This window comes from Homo sapiens, chromosome 10, assembly GCF_000001405.40.
Source record: "Homo sapiens chromosome 10, GRCh38.p14 Primary Assembly".
NCBI classification, from domain to species: Eukaryota; Metazoa; Chordata; class Mammalia; order Primates; family Hominidae; genus Homo; species Homo sapiens.
Window position 1 is genome coordinate 113,642,391 of NC_000010.11, and position 15,438 is coordinate 113,657,828.

The 15,438-nt window shown below is 41.7% G+C and overlaps 1 protein-coding gene across 11 annotated transcripts in view; it reads right to left on the bottom strand.

Moving 5' to 3' along the window:
• NRAP (nebulin related anchoring protein) overlaps positions 1–15,438 on the bottom strand; it is a 75,328-nt gene that overhangs the window by 53,677 nt on the left and 6,213 nt on the right. For 9 of the 11 annotated variants that reach the window (NM_001322945.2, XM_047425253.1, XM_024448029.2 and 6 more), the window contains exons 4-12: positions 15,080–15,184; positions 11,631–11,735; positions 10,545–10,649; positions 9,413–9,517; positions 8,048–8,155; positions 7,647–7,751; positions 4,533–4,637; positions 3,435–3,551; positions 544–648 (exon numbers count right to left, since the gene is read on the bottom strand). In NM_001322945.2, the coding sequence (NP_001309874.1) occupies positions 544–648; positions 3,435–3,551; positions 4,533–4,637; positions 7,647–7,751; positions 8,048–8,155; positions 9,413–9,517; positions 10,545–10,649; positions 11,631–11,735; positions 15,080–15,184 (960 nt within the window). The remainder of the gene's footprint in view (positions 1–543; positions 649–3,434; positions 3,552–4,532; positions 4,638–7,646; positions 7,752–8,047; positions 8,156–9,412; positions 9,518–10,544; positions 10,650–11,630; positions 11,736–15,079; positions 15,185–15,438) is intronic. The other 2 variants (NM_006175.5, XM_005269864.3) reach the window with 1 other exon arrangement.

Below are 15,438 nucleotides of genomic sequence, written 5' to 3' on the forward strand. Positions count from 1 at the left end.
GTGCAACTAAGCAAAAGTAAAGCATACTATCTAGTATAGGTCTTTGATGTCCATGAGGATACATCTTCAGACCTGCTCTGAGAATCTCCAAATTTGCGAATGCCCCTCTAGTACATATCTGTTCATCTGTAAGATAGGGAAATAACATCTGGCTCTCCAGGTGACTCTGAGGGTGAAATGAGGTCATATTAACTCAGAAGCACAAAGTCACATTGAGAGGGGACGTCACATGCTCAGCCAGGCCCCCTCACCAGCATTCATCACTATGAGCTGGGCACTGTGCTGCACACAAGGGAAGCAAGGGGACGGAGAGGACAGGTCCCGCCCAGAGGACTCAGGGTCAAGATTGGGGATGTGACAGAATTGAACACTATGAGGACCAATCCCAGCAGGCAACCTTAACCAAAACCCAGGCATTTATGCCTAAAAGGCCATGCTTCTCCAAGACACATAGATCCATTCCCATAGACTGTCCCTCTTAGGAGACCTAAAGACTAAGCTCACCAACAGTGCCCAAACAAAAGCTTAGCGTTAACAACTCACATCACTGGTAAATTTTGAGATCTTGCTCACGTTCCTGAATTGAGGTGTTTCACAGTAGTTGATACTGTGACCTCTACTACTTTCCAGATCCTTCTTATACTCCACCTTGGAAATCAAAACACCAGACACACAATAGAACCAAATCCGAAGTCACTCTTGAAAATGTCCCAGGACTTGACTAGGATATTTTTAGAAAACTTTCAACCCAAGATTTTAACATATCAAGCATAGAATATGCTAAGTTAGCAGGACATATTTTCCTTTATAAAAATGAATCATAATAAATAGCAAATAATTGGTTTCATTCAGAAAATTAAAAGCATATAGTCGCTTTCAAGAACAAATAATATAAGATTTCATAACTCAAAAAATGGCAAAACTGGTTTTACAACTCAGGTAGTTACTCTTGAGTGGAAATGCATTACGGGGATAAATCATATTTCCTGTAATGGAAATGTCTTAGGAGGATGTCTGGTCGTATTCTGTTTCTTGATCTGATTGCTAGTCACACAGGTGTGTCCCACTTAAGGAAATCCTTCCCACTATACATTTATGATGTATGCACATCTTTATAGGTATACTTCAATGCAATTCAACGAGGAAAGTTACTTTACAAGCAGTATAATAAATGAGACCACTCAGATGCAGAGTGTCTTCTAATTTAAAATCAGTTGGCTATTTGAGCTCTCCCGGGTGCCTGGATGTAGGATGTGAGGCTACATTTATTAAATAGACTCCAAGTCATCTCAGGTAATTAGCATGAGGCAGTTAAGGCCAACTACCACCAATAGATGGCTGGTTTGTCTTACTGACTAAACATAAGGACGTAAAGAAATGGAAGGTTCCCTTGCAACTTCTTTACCAAAGGAAATACCCCACAGTTTGTTATCATATCTTATAAAACTATATGGTGGGGGTATGTCTAATTCTAATTCTATAAATACATTTTTATATTCATCCCTTCAGTTACAGTATATTCATATAGAAAGAGGCTAAAATGGGAGTTCAAGACCAGCCTGGCCAGCAGACGGGGTTTCACCCCGTCTCTACCAAAAATACAAAAAATTAGCTGGGCATGGTGGTGGGCGCCTGTAATCCCAGCTACTCAGGAGGCTGAGGAAGGGGAATCGCTTGACGTGGGAGGTGGAGGTTGCGGTGAGCTGAGACTGCGCCATTGCACTCCAGCCTGGCCAACAAGAGTGAAACTCCCTCTCAAAAAAAAAAAAAAAAAAAAAAGGCCAAAATGTTAACAGTGTTATTCCTGGGTGGTAGAACTGCACTCCCAGTGGTATGGATCCAGTTCTGTCCCTAAAAGTCTCTACCACCCAGAATTAGATACTTTACTTTTCCAGGCGTATGACAAAGTGATAGCCTAATGATGGAAAAGGTCCCATCTAGGTCTAGTGTTCTGTGAGTGAGAGCAAAGGCCAGCAAACTTTTTCTATAAATGACCAGACAGTAAATATTTTAGGTTTGGCAGGCTACAAATTCTTTGTCAATTATTATACTCAACTCTGCCCTTGTAGCTCCAAAGCAGCCACAGATAATCCAGGAACAAATGTGATATGAATGTGTTCAAATAAAACTTATTTAAAAAGCAGGCAGTGGGCTGGATTTGTCACTGAGGTTGTAGTGTGTTGACCTCTGGTCTAGAGTACCAGAATCATCTGGAACAGTTGTTTAAAATGCAGATTCCAAAGCCTCAACAGTCATCTACCACTTCAAAGTATCTGAGGCTCCTGATGAGGCTTGGGAAAATATCACTGCTGGTGACTCAGAGCAGCCCCAAGTTAGAGGATCACGGGTTAACTAACAGTTTAGGGTAAAGGACCAGCTTTTAGAGGTTAGAGACGGAAAATATTTTTGGATATTTGCATATCTGTTTGTGAGTTGCAGATAACTTGTTATGTGAATGCTTTGAATTGCCATAATTGTTCCCGTTGCCAGAGGCTGCCAAGTCAAATGCCTTCAGAGTCCAGATAAGAAATGCAAATGAGGGAAAATGCCGTGAAGAACACACTAGGGCATGAGAAGGATATGAGGTTCTACAGGGGATATTTCCTTGCCAAACAGTCCTCACAATAAAAACGTCTTAAACGGTGGGCAAGCCAAACAAAACACACCCCTCAGGCAGCCAGTGCAGCATGTAAGGTAAGGGAAATTCACATGGAATACACAGCTTCTCAGAACTCAGACTTCAGTAATAAGAGAACGAGAGGGGTTTGACATTTGAAACATCTTTCAGATGTTTGATTTGTTTAAAAAGATGGATCCTCCAGTATTCTTTCTGGCAACTAGAAGCCTGTTGCCTGGCACTTTTGAATATTGACAGCCCTGGGAGGATTTAGGAAGTAACTTCTGAACCACCAGAGAAAGATGTAATTGGTTTGATTCTAGGCTGTCTTGTAAATTGCATTTTACCGCATATCTGTTCTTTGAAACCAGTAACCAATGGGTAGAATAGGTGGTGTCACCTTTTTTGTTGTTTGTTTGTTTGTTTTGAGATGGAGTTTCGCTTTTGTTGTCCAGGATGGAGTGCAATAGCACTATCTCGGCTCACCGCGACCTCCGCCTCCCGAGTTCAAGCAATTCTCCTGTCTCAGCCTCCTTAGTAGCTGGGATTACAGTCATGCGCCACCACACCCAGCTAATTTTGTATTTTTAGTAGAGACGGGGTTTCTCCATGTTAGTCAGGCTGATCTCGAACTCCCAACCTCAGGTGATCTGCCTGCCTCGGCCTCCCAAAGTGCTGGGATCACAGGCGTGAGCCACCGCACCTGGCCGGTGTCACACTTTTAACCAGAGCTTTTTATTATAGGGTCACCTCATTCACTGACTATAGGAGATAAAAGAGGTGATGCTCATGGGTGTGACTCTTCCCCCATACGCACCTCACTCACGAGTTTGTTTACGCTCTGAGCCTGTTTGAGAACCAAGTTGTCTTGAGCTGGAAGCGAGTGATAATGTGCAGCGCCTTTCATCTTATTGAAGTCCTGCCTGTATTTTATCTGAAAAAAAAAACACAAAACGGGGCTGGAGTTGATGTTTCCATGCTCTGGGAGGGGAATTACTCCAAAGTTATCCTGGGCTTAATGTCAACATTTACTTAATACAATTTTCTGAAAGAAAAAAAAATTCACATGGCCTTTTCTCTTCATTAAATCTATAAACTACTTTGTCCTTTTTTGTTATTAAAATTTTCCTGGCCCTTTTCACACTTTTTATACTTTATACTCTAATTCTGCGTGGGAAAAAAAAGTCTTAAAATAATCATAACAAAAGTTGTCAGTCCAAACCCATTCTGCCCTTGGTTTAAACATCATTTCCCTGCTAATGAGGGGCAGAGTAATGTCTTTTAACTTCCTTCCTCAGGCAAAGATGGTGCTGTTATGGGTCAATGGGTAATAGGTGAATAGTTCTTTGGTAAAGGAAAGAAAAGAGAGTGAAGGAAAAGGAAAGAAAAAGAAAATGGCAAGGGGCGTGAAATGAATGCTAGGTTCTGTTGAGACCAAGTTCCAGTTGGCATGCTAAGATCTGCAGTGAGCATGTCACTTTTCCAAGTTTAATTATACCCTGCCTTCCAAGGACTGCCAGCAGGCTAACATTCTGCCAATAAAAATCATTTCATCACCGGGTTACACCCAATTTGATAATCATATGACTTATTTTAATCAGCTCTTCCCCTAAATTACTCAATTTCTAATTGGGCCATTTGGCAAAACTCTCCTAACACCCCACTCTGGCTGGCCAGCCTCTGTACTTGCTTCAATGGCCTCAAGCGAGCTATGCTGGCTGTCCGTGTCCATCTCCTTGGAAGCAGACAAATGGGGCCAAAGCAGGCATCATAAATTTGGATGGGAGTTGAGGGCTAACATTCTACTTTGGCTCAGCTATAATAAATGTATCTGTGTGTAGGTTTCAGTAAGCACAGCCTTCAAAGTCTCACTTCTCTGCCTCTGGCTCTGTGGTCACACCTACATGGTACTTACGTCACTAGCGAGTTCGTGAGCTTTCTTGGCGTTCTGATATGCTGGAGTGATCATAGCTGGGAAGCTGCCCTTTCCCCTGTGCTCCTCATACTCCTCCGGGTAACCCTGCCGGGTGCATCAAAAACTTCAGTGAGTAATGCTTCCCTCCCCAGATGGGTGGGGTTCAGCAATGGTCACTCATAGAGCCTATTCTCACAGAGGTTCATCCACCTTGGGTATTTCACTGATGTCCATGTGGTAGTTTAAACATTCCTTTTAAGATGGCAGACCCTGGAGTCAGGCCCACTTACTGGTGCCCAGCACATAGTCAGCACCAAATAATGGCAACTGATATCATGATCATCATCCTTATTTCCACTAGATAAATCAGACACTCTACCACTCTCCCAGGCCCATATGTTATGAAATATTCACTTTTTAACTGACAACCAGGGAAGTCCTTTGTCTTCCAGTAGGTCTCGAACACTACCTTACTCACACCCAGTGGCAGATCTATGTAGAGACCTCCCCCGATGGTACTGTCTCCCCCGGTGGTACTGCCTCCCCAAGTGGTACTGTCTCCCCCGGTGGTACTGCCTCCCCAAGTGGTACTGTCTCCCCCGGTGGTACTGTCTCCCCCGGTGGTACTGTCTCCCCCAGTGGTACTGCCTCCCCTGGTGGTACTTCCTCCCCTAGTGGTACTGTCTCCCCCGGTGGTACTTCCTCCCCTAGTGGTACTGTCTCCCCCCGGTGGTACTGCCTCCCCCGGTGGTGCTGTCTCCCCCGGTGGTACTGTCTCCCCCAGTGGTACTGCCTTCCCCAATGGTATGTGTCATGTAACCAGAAAAGGAGTATTAAACAATGTTTGTAATATGGGAGGAAAACCTCAAATTACCATAAGATTATCTGAAATGGGACTAAATGTATATTTCAGACTAAGGATTATAATCTTTGTCTTAATCCTTTCTTTTATCTTCCCCACACCATCCATCCACTCCCAGAAAGGAAAACCTTCTCTTTCATGACACTGTCATCACATGACGGATAACCCCTCCCTGGCAGCCAGATGTACTTTAAGACCCAGCTTAGGGACAGTCTCCTCGTGGAAGTCCCTGAGTCCTCCTTCACCCCTGGACCTGCCCCAGGCAGAGTCCTCTGTGTTTTCACTGCACTTTTTGCATAAATCTGAAACAGCCCATATGGTGCCCTCATTAGGCTCACGACTCCATCTCTCTGTGGCCTCCTCCAAGCCAGGGGCCTGTCCAGCTCCAGCACCAGGGCTTTGACTGTGGCACACACATTTTCTAAAATAAAATAGTTGGGTCAGATTAGAAAGTCCAGGCTCCCCGTTATCCAACAATGAAAACTATTTAGCCCGAGTTCTCCTTTTTGCCTGGCTGACAGAAGGTTCTGGCCAAATATAATAAGTAAAAAAAGGTTAAGTTTTTTTAAAAGGTTCTCAAATTCTTTGGTAATCTGCTCTATGGCTTTGTCCATTCTGCTCTATAGTTTTGTGTTTGTAACTTTATTTTAGTTTCTCTCTCTCTCTCTCTCTCTCTCTCTCTCTATATATATATATATATATATATGTTGTAAGTGTTAATCTTTTTTCAAGACACCTAATCCTGTTGATTACATGGTATAATCCTTTTAACAAGTCTAGTTACTTGTTAAAAAGAAGAATGAATTGGTTGGCATTTAAGGCACTACAGATATTTATAGTTATCTGCCTGCTGGCTTCTCTCTCGCTCCCTCCTCCTCATGCCCTGGCGAGTCATGCTAAATCACAACAGTGAAATGCCATGCTAGACTGAGTCCTCTCAACAGCTGCTGAAGGTGCTATCAAACAACACTCACTTTGATTCTTGCATTTGTTATTTTCAGGACTGAAAACTTCAATCAAATCGTCCTACTAATCAAGAACCAGCTATGATACTATGAAGTTACATTTCATCTGTACCTACAGACATGTCTAGGTACACATATGAAATGATACATGTGTCTTATAACTACTGGTAGATAGGATTGGCCAAATACAGGACAAAATACTTTTTGCCAAATATAGAAGCCAGATTTTTTTTAAGCTGATTTTTAAAAGTTGTCCTGAGCTTTCCAAACAATATATTTAAAATACAAAACCAGTAAAAACATTTTTCACTGGTTTAAAGCACTAAAAGACCACTTAATTAACTTAGAGAATTTGATTAAATGGCCTTTTAAATTCAAAACCAAGCATTTTTGCTCTGGCAGACATTTTCAAAGGAGTCCCAACCGACCTTCACACACATCCTAAGACTCATATGAGCATATGCCTAACTATGGCAATGTGTCTTTCTAAAGAAGAGAAACAAATTCATTGTGGTTTTCTAAATCATATATGTTGTAGAGAGTCTACTTACTGACAAATAATTCAAACAACTGTCCAATTATGAATAAAAATCACTTAAACCCATGGAATGTATTCTTCCAATACACACACTTGCTCTTCCAATGTTCTTCACTTGCAACTGTGAACAATAATGCTTCCTTTCTACCCTACAACACCTGGCTAGTACCAGAAAAGACAGAGGGATGTGCAAATAATAATTAGCTTGTGATTGTCATCTTAATCTTTTTTTACTCCCTGTCAAGATGTAGTTCATCTGAGAAGTGAAATTGGAAAAAGGGTTTGCATTCTCTGGCATACTGATTTATCTACCAACCTAGATAAAAAAAATTCACTTTCTAAGAAAATGAGCACCACTACTCAGTGAAATGCTCAATATTTTTCAAGATGCATTTTGATCTCTATGTTGCTTATGATAGAGACCAGCTAAGCTTAGCCAATCTTAGTCCTAGCGACTGTTCTTCAATGGACAGATAGGAATGCTTTCTTCTTGGCCAAGCCACCATATTGGTATAAGTCATTTATTAATTTAAAAAAAGAAAGTGCCTCAATCTGTTTTCCTAAGTGGGTCAAGTTGAGCCCTGTGCAATTGTTTGTCCACTACTTTCTATCTTGGAAAATCTACCTTTCATAAAAAAGGTAAAGATAAACCAAAGCCCCACCCCTGATTAAATTGTCATAGCTGTGTCACAGCCTAGAATGGGCCAAACATGGAAAAGAGCAGGTCAGGAGATCATTTTATCACATACCTGGCCATATTGGTCTGCACATTCCCTTGTCAAGATGCCCTCAGCTCCAATGGCTGGACCAGCCATTCCCCTCATTTCTTTTTGATATTGTTGATGGTACCTCACCTGTTTTAAGGCAAAGGACAAACTCGGTGAATTTGACTCCCATGCACAGGAGCCAAAAGAGTAAAAGTGAATGTCTTAATGGAATGTTCTTTTTCTGCTTGGATCTAGGGAGTAGGTATGTCTCAGACATAAAAGTGCCAGGTCATTGTCATTGGTAAAATTGACTTAAAACTATAAAGGAAAACTACTCCCTGGCTTCAGGGTAAATGCAAAAGTCAACAGGAAGTTGGACTCCTCAGACCCAGGTTCACATTCCTCTTTCTCCCTAACATGACCACATTGTCAAGGACACTTACATCACTTGCCAGCTCATTGGCTCTTTTGGCTATCTGATAGGCGGGTGTGATCATCGCAGGGAAACTGCCTTTCCCTCTTTGTTGTTCATAGTCCTCTGTGTATCTCACCTGAAATGAAAAAACATGTGAATCACATGCCCCATGTTTATCAGATGATCTTAGTGAGATGCTCTGCTAAGGGTTCCATGACATCCTGCCCATCTCCTGTCATAGCTCATAAGGCACATAATTGGCTTACAGTTTGATGGGCCATGTGCATCTTATTCATCTTCTTATTCCCAATACCCAGCACAGTGCCTGGCACATGGAGACACCCAATGTGGAGTTCAACACATGCTTGCTAAGCACCTGGTGTGGGCCAGGCACTGGGCCTGGGCAGAGTAATAAGTCCTCAGCCCTCAAGGAGTTGTCAGCCATTTTTGGGAGACACAAGAGTCTTCTCAACCCCAGATTAAGGCTAAAGCAAGAGGAAACCATGTATGACGCAGAAGCTGGATTTGTGCTTCAATGTCCCATTCAGAACAACACTAAGTTCTTGATCTTATTATGCTGTGCAACATTTGGATTATGTAAAGGCAAGTGGTAAAAGTTGTTTAGAAATTATGTTCTCTAATTTGTAGTGGCAAGAGAGATTTCTCTCAGATAACTGAGATACATCCAATTTGGTACTAATCCAATCTAAAGTTTTCTCTTTAAAGAAGTGTTTTTGCAAGGTCTCTGCTAACTGACTTATCAAGCCCAACCATCCTTGACCTCAGGAATTTCTTCTTGTTACCCATGCAGGACTAAAATGTCTCATACATTCTCCCTCCCTCCACCTCCAAGCAAGGAAAGAATGAGGGATCTTAAGTGCAAACCACTACATCTTGGCCTTCCTCATTTCTCTCTCTTTTTTATTAATTTAATTTAATTTAAGTTCTAGAATACATGTGCAGGACGTGCAGGTTTGTTACGTAGGTAAATGTGTGCCATGGTGGTTTGCTGTACGTATCAGCCCATCACCTAGGTATTAAGCCCGGCATGCATTAGCTATTTATCCTGATGCTGTCCCTCCCCTCAACTCCCCTCTGTGGGCCCCAGTGTGTGTTGTTCCCCTCCCTGTGTCCATGTGTTCTCATTGCTCAGCTCCCACTTATAAGTGAGAACATGGGGTGTTTGGTTTTCTGTTCCTGTATTAGTCTGCTGAGGATAATGGCCTCCAGCTCCATCTGTGTCCCTGCAAAGGACATGATCTTGTTCCTTTTTATCATTCTATTATAAAGATACATGCACGTGTATGTTCATTGCAGCACTATTCACAAGAGCAAAGATGAGGAATCAACCCAAATGCCCATCAGTGATGGACTGGCCTCCCTCCTTTCTTACATCACTTTGAAGCTGTGCCCCAGCCTTGCTCCGTAGCAGCTCAGGAGTATCCACCACCGTGGAGAACCTGGAGATGCGTTCATCATGCCCTCTCTTATACTCCACCTGATGAGAAGACAGTAGAGTCAAGGGTGCACCCACCTCACAGCCTCCTCAGTGACCTCTCCCTGTGGCTCTCCTAAAGCTGCACCATCAGGCTACACTCAATGCAAACCTGTGGCAAGTCTTCTGTGGCTTGTTTCATGGGCTCCTCCTCAAAAAGCATCTATGCCAATGTGCTAAGTCCAGGAGTGTGCCAGGGACTGCCACACTCCAACAAATATTAACTTGCTTAATCTCCATAACAATCATATTTGGCAGGACTAATGTTTTCCTCACTTTACAAACGAGAAGCCAAGAAAGAGAGAAATTAAGTAATTTGTCCATGGTCACATAGCACTAAGGGATAGAGTCAGGATTCAAATTTCAACATTCTGGCTCCAAAATCTAAGCTTTTAACAAATAAACTTTGCTACTCTTCCGGTGAACCTGACATCCAGTTAAAAATTAGTGTCTTCGGCTGGCTGTGGTGGCTCACCCGAGTAATCCCAGCACTTTGGGAGGCCAAGTTGGGTGGATCACAGGGTCAAGAGATTAAGACCATCCTGGCCAACATGGTGAAACCCCATCTCTACTACTAAAAATACAAAAAAATTAGCTGGGTGTGGTGGCACGTGCCTGTAGTCCAGCTACTCGGGAGGCTGAGGCAGGAGAATCACTTGAACCCAGGAGGCAGAGGTTGCAGTGAGCCAAGAATAAAAATAAAAATAAAATAAAAATAAAAATAAATAAATAAAATAAAAATAAAAATGTAAAATAATAATGTGTTCAGTGCTAAAGCAAACTCAAGAAATCATGTGGTCCAGACTTTGGGTGAACTATACATTCTTCTCTGTATTTTATAGACATGGTCCAATCACAGCACAGAGAATACTTGACGGGGAAAAGTAAGAACACAGTTTTCTCTGTAATATGACACTAATGGTACCTACTTCCCCAAAGCACTCTCTTACTGTTTTTTCCCTAAATCACGGGGGCTCATTAATGACAAAAATTAGCATAATCAATGGTGAAAAAGCACCCAGGCACTCACTTGGCTGGCCAGCTGGTTGGCTTTCTTGGCCCTTTGATAAGCAGGTGTGATCATGGCTGGAAAGCTCCCCTTGCCCCTGGGTTGCTCATAGTCTTCTGTATATTCCTGTTGGTCAGAACCAATGTCAGCATGAGAACTGAGATGATATTGAATGACAACTAAGAAAACCGCAATAAAACCAATGAAACTAGATTCATAAAGTTCTTCGGAAATATTTCAATCACCTGTAATAAATTTAAAAATGGCTTATAATTGACCATTTGAATAAAACCATCAGCACTGAAGAACTCATATTTCCCATGTCAAAGGGGCTCCTCTTCAATGTTCATATCAAAATATGGGGACCTGGCACAACTCAAGGGCTGCCCTTTGGCTCTAAGGCCTGTAGGTACCACAGCTATTAATTAATACATGGGTGACTTTCCTGTAACTCGTCTGCTAGCAAGAGTACTACAGTATTGGAAGTAAAATGTCTCTTTTTCTTTCCTTCTGACTTTTTGAATATCTCTGATGATTAGTTTTCCTAATGAGACTTATCACCTTAGCATTTGTGTTTCTAGCATTTTCTTTCCATTTTCTAAAGAAAAGTCATGAGGACTAACAGTGTTTTCCAAAGTAGATTCTTCAAAGGGTAAGTGTACCTAGAGGTAACCAGGAGGGACCTAGTTACCTAGAGCGTAACCTGTGCAAATGATTGAGGATTTCCACAGTCTGGGCTAAAACTGTCTTCCCTATGTGAAAGCCTGCTAAGGTCTCTTATGATTTTGGAGGTCAGTACTTTAAAATGGGCCATTGGAGATGGTTCCTTCTGGAGGTTCTAGAGCATAATCTGTTTCTCTGCCTTTTCCAGCTTCTAGAGGCCCACACATTTCTAGTTCCTGCCCTACATGGATTTGGCCTCTGCTTCTGTCACCATATCACCTTTCCTCTGACTCTGACCCTCCTGGTTTCAGGGATTAGGACATGGGTATCTTTGGGGATGATAGCATCATTCTGTCTACCGAAATTGTAAAAGTCAAGGAACAGTCAAACTAATTGCTAAGTAATTGCTAAACCAATTCCTAAAGCAATTTCTAGGGTGCTTACCTCACCAAGAGACTTTCGAGCCTCAACCATCCTTACAATTTCGGGGTCTGGCAGAGCTCCTGGGCACCAAGCATTCCCTTCCCCATATCCAGTCCAATAGGCTCTCTACAAAGGAAGCACATGAAGGGATACAAACACATGCCCCAGACTCCCAGCAACACTTACATACATTGTCAAAAGAAGATATTCTTAAACATTATAAACTCCTATTGGTAAATCCTGGGTCTCAGCTAACTGAAATGTTCATTTATTTCAGGCTAGAAAATGACCTAAGATTCTAAATAATTGAACTTTCTGAGAACCACTTATGTTACAGGAAAATTTTGAATGTAACAACATTTTCTTGCACACCATTGCATCAAGATTGGGCGAGGAGGAGGGGAAATCACTGTGGACAGGTAATCTGAGATTAATCAACATTATTCAGACAAATGTCAAAAACCTACTACCTGTTATGTGCTTGACAACTGACAATGGCAATAAAAGCAAAAAAAAAAAAAAAAAAGGAAAGGCAAAGTTTCTCTTTTAAGATACTCATGACCTACCACCTTGGGAGATAAAACTAACATGAAATAAATAGCAATTAGAAAACAGTTATGTGTTTAAGTGTATTGTCTGAGTGATAAGTACAATAAGAATCTTTAAAAAGCAGTCTGTAAGAGATGGGTCCCATATGGGGCAGGAAGATAGAATTTGAGCTGTACCTCCAGGGCTGAGGGCAATTAGTAGAGGCCAAGGGAGAACGAATGGCATCCACTTTAGAAGGTCCGTTCCATGAAGGCAGGGATTTTCATGTCTGGTTTACTAACGCATCCCAAAAGCTTGGAACAGTGTGTAGCAACTCATAGACTCAATAATTATTTGTTGAATAAATTCCAGGAATGTAGGCTGCCATGAATAAAAGCATGAAGGCAGTGATGGGCTCAGTAATTAGGACCATGAGGAGCTGGGTTTGATTGGACACAAGGGAAAGAGATGGGGAGCCAGGTGGGCTGGAGGGGGGCAAGTTGGACAGGTTGGATAGAGCCAGCCTTTGGAGATCCAGAAAGACAGATTATTCATATGTGAAATTATACTCAACCTGACTAGCAATCAGGGACATCTAAATTGAAACAAGATGCAGATTGTCCAAACACTTATCTGACAATACCAAGTGATGGTTAGAATGTTGGGAAACAGGCATTCTCACACACTGCCTTTGGGAGTATAAAATGTACAGCTATTTTAGAATTCAATTTGAGCCTCCATTAAAATTTAAAAGGGACATACCCTTTGATCTAGCAACTTTGTTTTTTCATTATCTAGTCTAGAAAAACACTCACTTGTATACAAAAGAGGTCTTGAACAAGAATGTTCCTTGCAAATTTGCAATAGAAAAAAAATTTTGGAATAATCCTGTCTATCAATAGGATAGTATGGTATTGTACATCCATTTTTTTTTTTTTTTTCCCTTGAGACAGAGTCTTGCTCTGTCACCTAGGATGGAGTGCAGTGGCACTATCTCAGCTCACTGCAACCTCCGCCTCCTGGGTTCAAGCAATTCTCCTGCCTCAGCCTCCCGAGAAGCTGGGATTACAGGCATGTACCACCATGCCTGGCTAATTTTTATATTTTTAGTAGAGATGGGCCATGTTGGCCAGGCTAGTCTCGAACTCCTGACCTCAGGTGATCCACCCACCTTGGCCTCCCAAAGTGCTAGGATTACAGGTGTGAGCCATGGCACCTGGCCTTGTATATCCATACTTAATGGTGCACCTATGATACACCCATTCACGATAGCTTAAAAGGATGCTGATGTAGAAATATTTCCAAGATATTTGTTGAGTGAAAAATACACACTTCACAACAATGCATATTGTTTCATGAAAAAAGTATACATTTTAATAGAAATATACTGTAAACCAAAAATAAAATTCTAAGCCCCCTAACTATCTGAACAGATCCCTCCTCTCAGCCAAGGACATTCGAAAGTTAACCTGCAAAACTGGTTCAGGCCATGATGGAAAGGGGGAGGTCGAACATGTCTCATTATACCCGCCTCCCTTTCGGAATTCAAGAAAAGCCTACCGACCAGCATTAACACCAACACATACTCTAAGTCTGATAAGAAATATTTACAATCTATTCTCTCTGAAACCTGCTGCTTGGAGGCTTCATCTGCATGATAAAACTTTGGTCTCCACAACCCCTTATTGTAATCCAGACATTTCTTCTATTGATTTCAGGTCTTTAGTTAATAACTCTTTAAATCAATTGCCAATCAGAAAACTTTAAATCTACCTATAACCTGAAAGCCCCCACTTCGAGGTGTCCTGCCTTTCCAGATGGAACCAATGTACACCTCACATGTACTGATTGATGTCTCATGTCTCCCTAAAATGTATAAAAGCAAGCTGTACTCTGACCACCTCTGGCACAGGTTGTCAGGACCTCCTGAGGCTGTCGTGGGTGTGTCCTTAACCTTGGCAAAATAAACTTTCTAAATGGATTGAGACCTGTCTCAGATACTTTTGGGTTTATATAACATATATACATATATAATTTTCAATAACAAGTAATACTAGCTGATATTTATTGTGCCTACCACTGTTCTAAGATCTTTTGTTCATCGCAATATCATTATGTTAGGAAGTGTTTTTGAAGTTCACCTTACAGATGAGAAAGTTGAAGTAAAGAATGGTTAAATAACTCATTTAAGATCCTTCAATAAATGGTAGCATGTCCAAATGTAAATTCTAGAAAGATATGGTTTTATTTGCAAATCAATAGAGAAAAGTCTGGAAGGATGCTATCCACAAGATTGACGAGAGTGGGTACTTGTACAAAGAAAACTGGAATTGGAGGTGGTGGATAAAGGGTTAGCTTTGTACTGTTTGGATTTTTTTTTATAATAAGAATAATGCAAATTCTTATGTGTATATTATGTGTGTAAATAAAATAAATGGCTAAGGAATTCTGAAATGATGAGTCTGTCAACAGACAGGGGAGGTGGGAAGAGTAAGTCAGGGACACCTAGGAAGCTGGGAGCCTCCTGACCCATGTGAGTACAACAGGCTGGAGAGAGGCCAGCCTAGAGGAGGGAAAGCAGCCACCTTGGGAGGCCTCGTAAAGGTCCAGGCAGAAAATGATGTAGATCAGAACGGGGAGAGTGGAGAGAAAAGGGTGGAGCTGAGTGAAGTGTCAGAGAAAGACAGGGTAGCCTTGGTTTCAAACCTGGGTGATAGAAATACAGTGGTTGGAAGGGGAAGACAATGAACCTGGTCTGGGGAAGATAGAGTTCAGGTGATATTAGGACACGCTGATTGAGGTCTTCCATAGACAGCTGGAATTACAAACTGGGTGAAAGGAAACCTACTTGGTTTTCTCTAGAAGTAATAATAATAATACACTCAATTGACATAGTATGTCATTCTTTCTTTTTCCAAACCCACTTGTCACTTTTCTCTCACCTCATTTGCCAGTGGCTGCCTGTTAGGTGCACCTTCCTTATCCTTGGATTTCATGTCCCAGTGAAAAACTGATTTACACTGTTCACCATCTTCTTGGTCATGGATCTGCTCAAGGAAGATGTTGTCAGTAATGTTTCCATCAGAAAAGAGAAAAAAACATAGACAAACAATTCCTAGCTAAAATTGGGGGATTTTGCTAAGTCTCAACTGCAAAGCATCTTCACTGTGCTGCAAGGCACACTGTGCTGTCAGTCTCCCTGTGGTTTAATCTGCACCTCCAACCAGGTGGCACATATAGAGCACCTGCTGTGTGTGAAGCTCTTTGAAGCAGTGCAATTAAAGTGACTGAGATAAAGTCT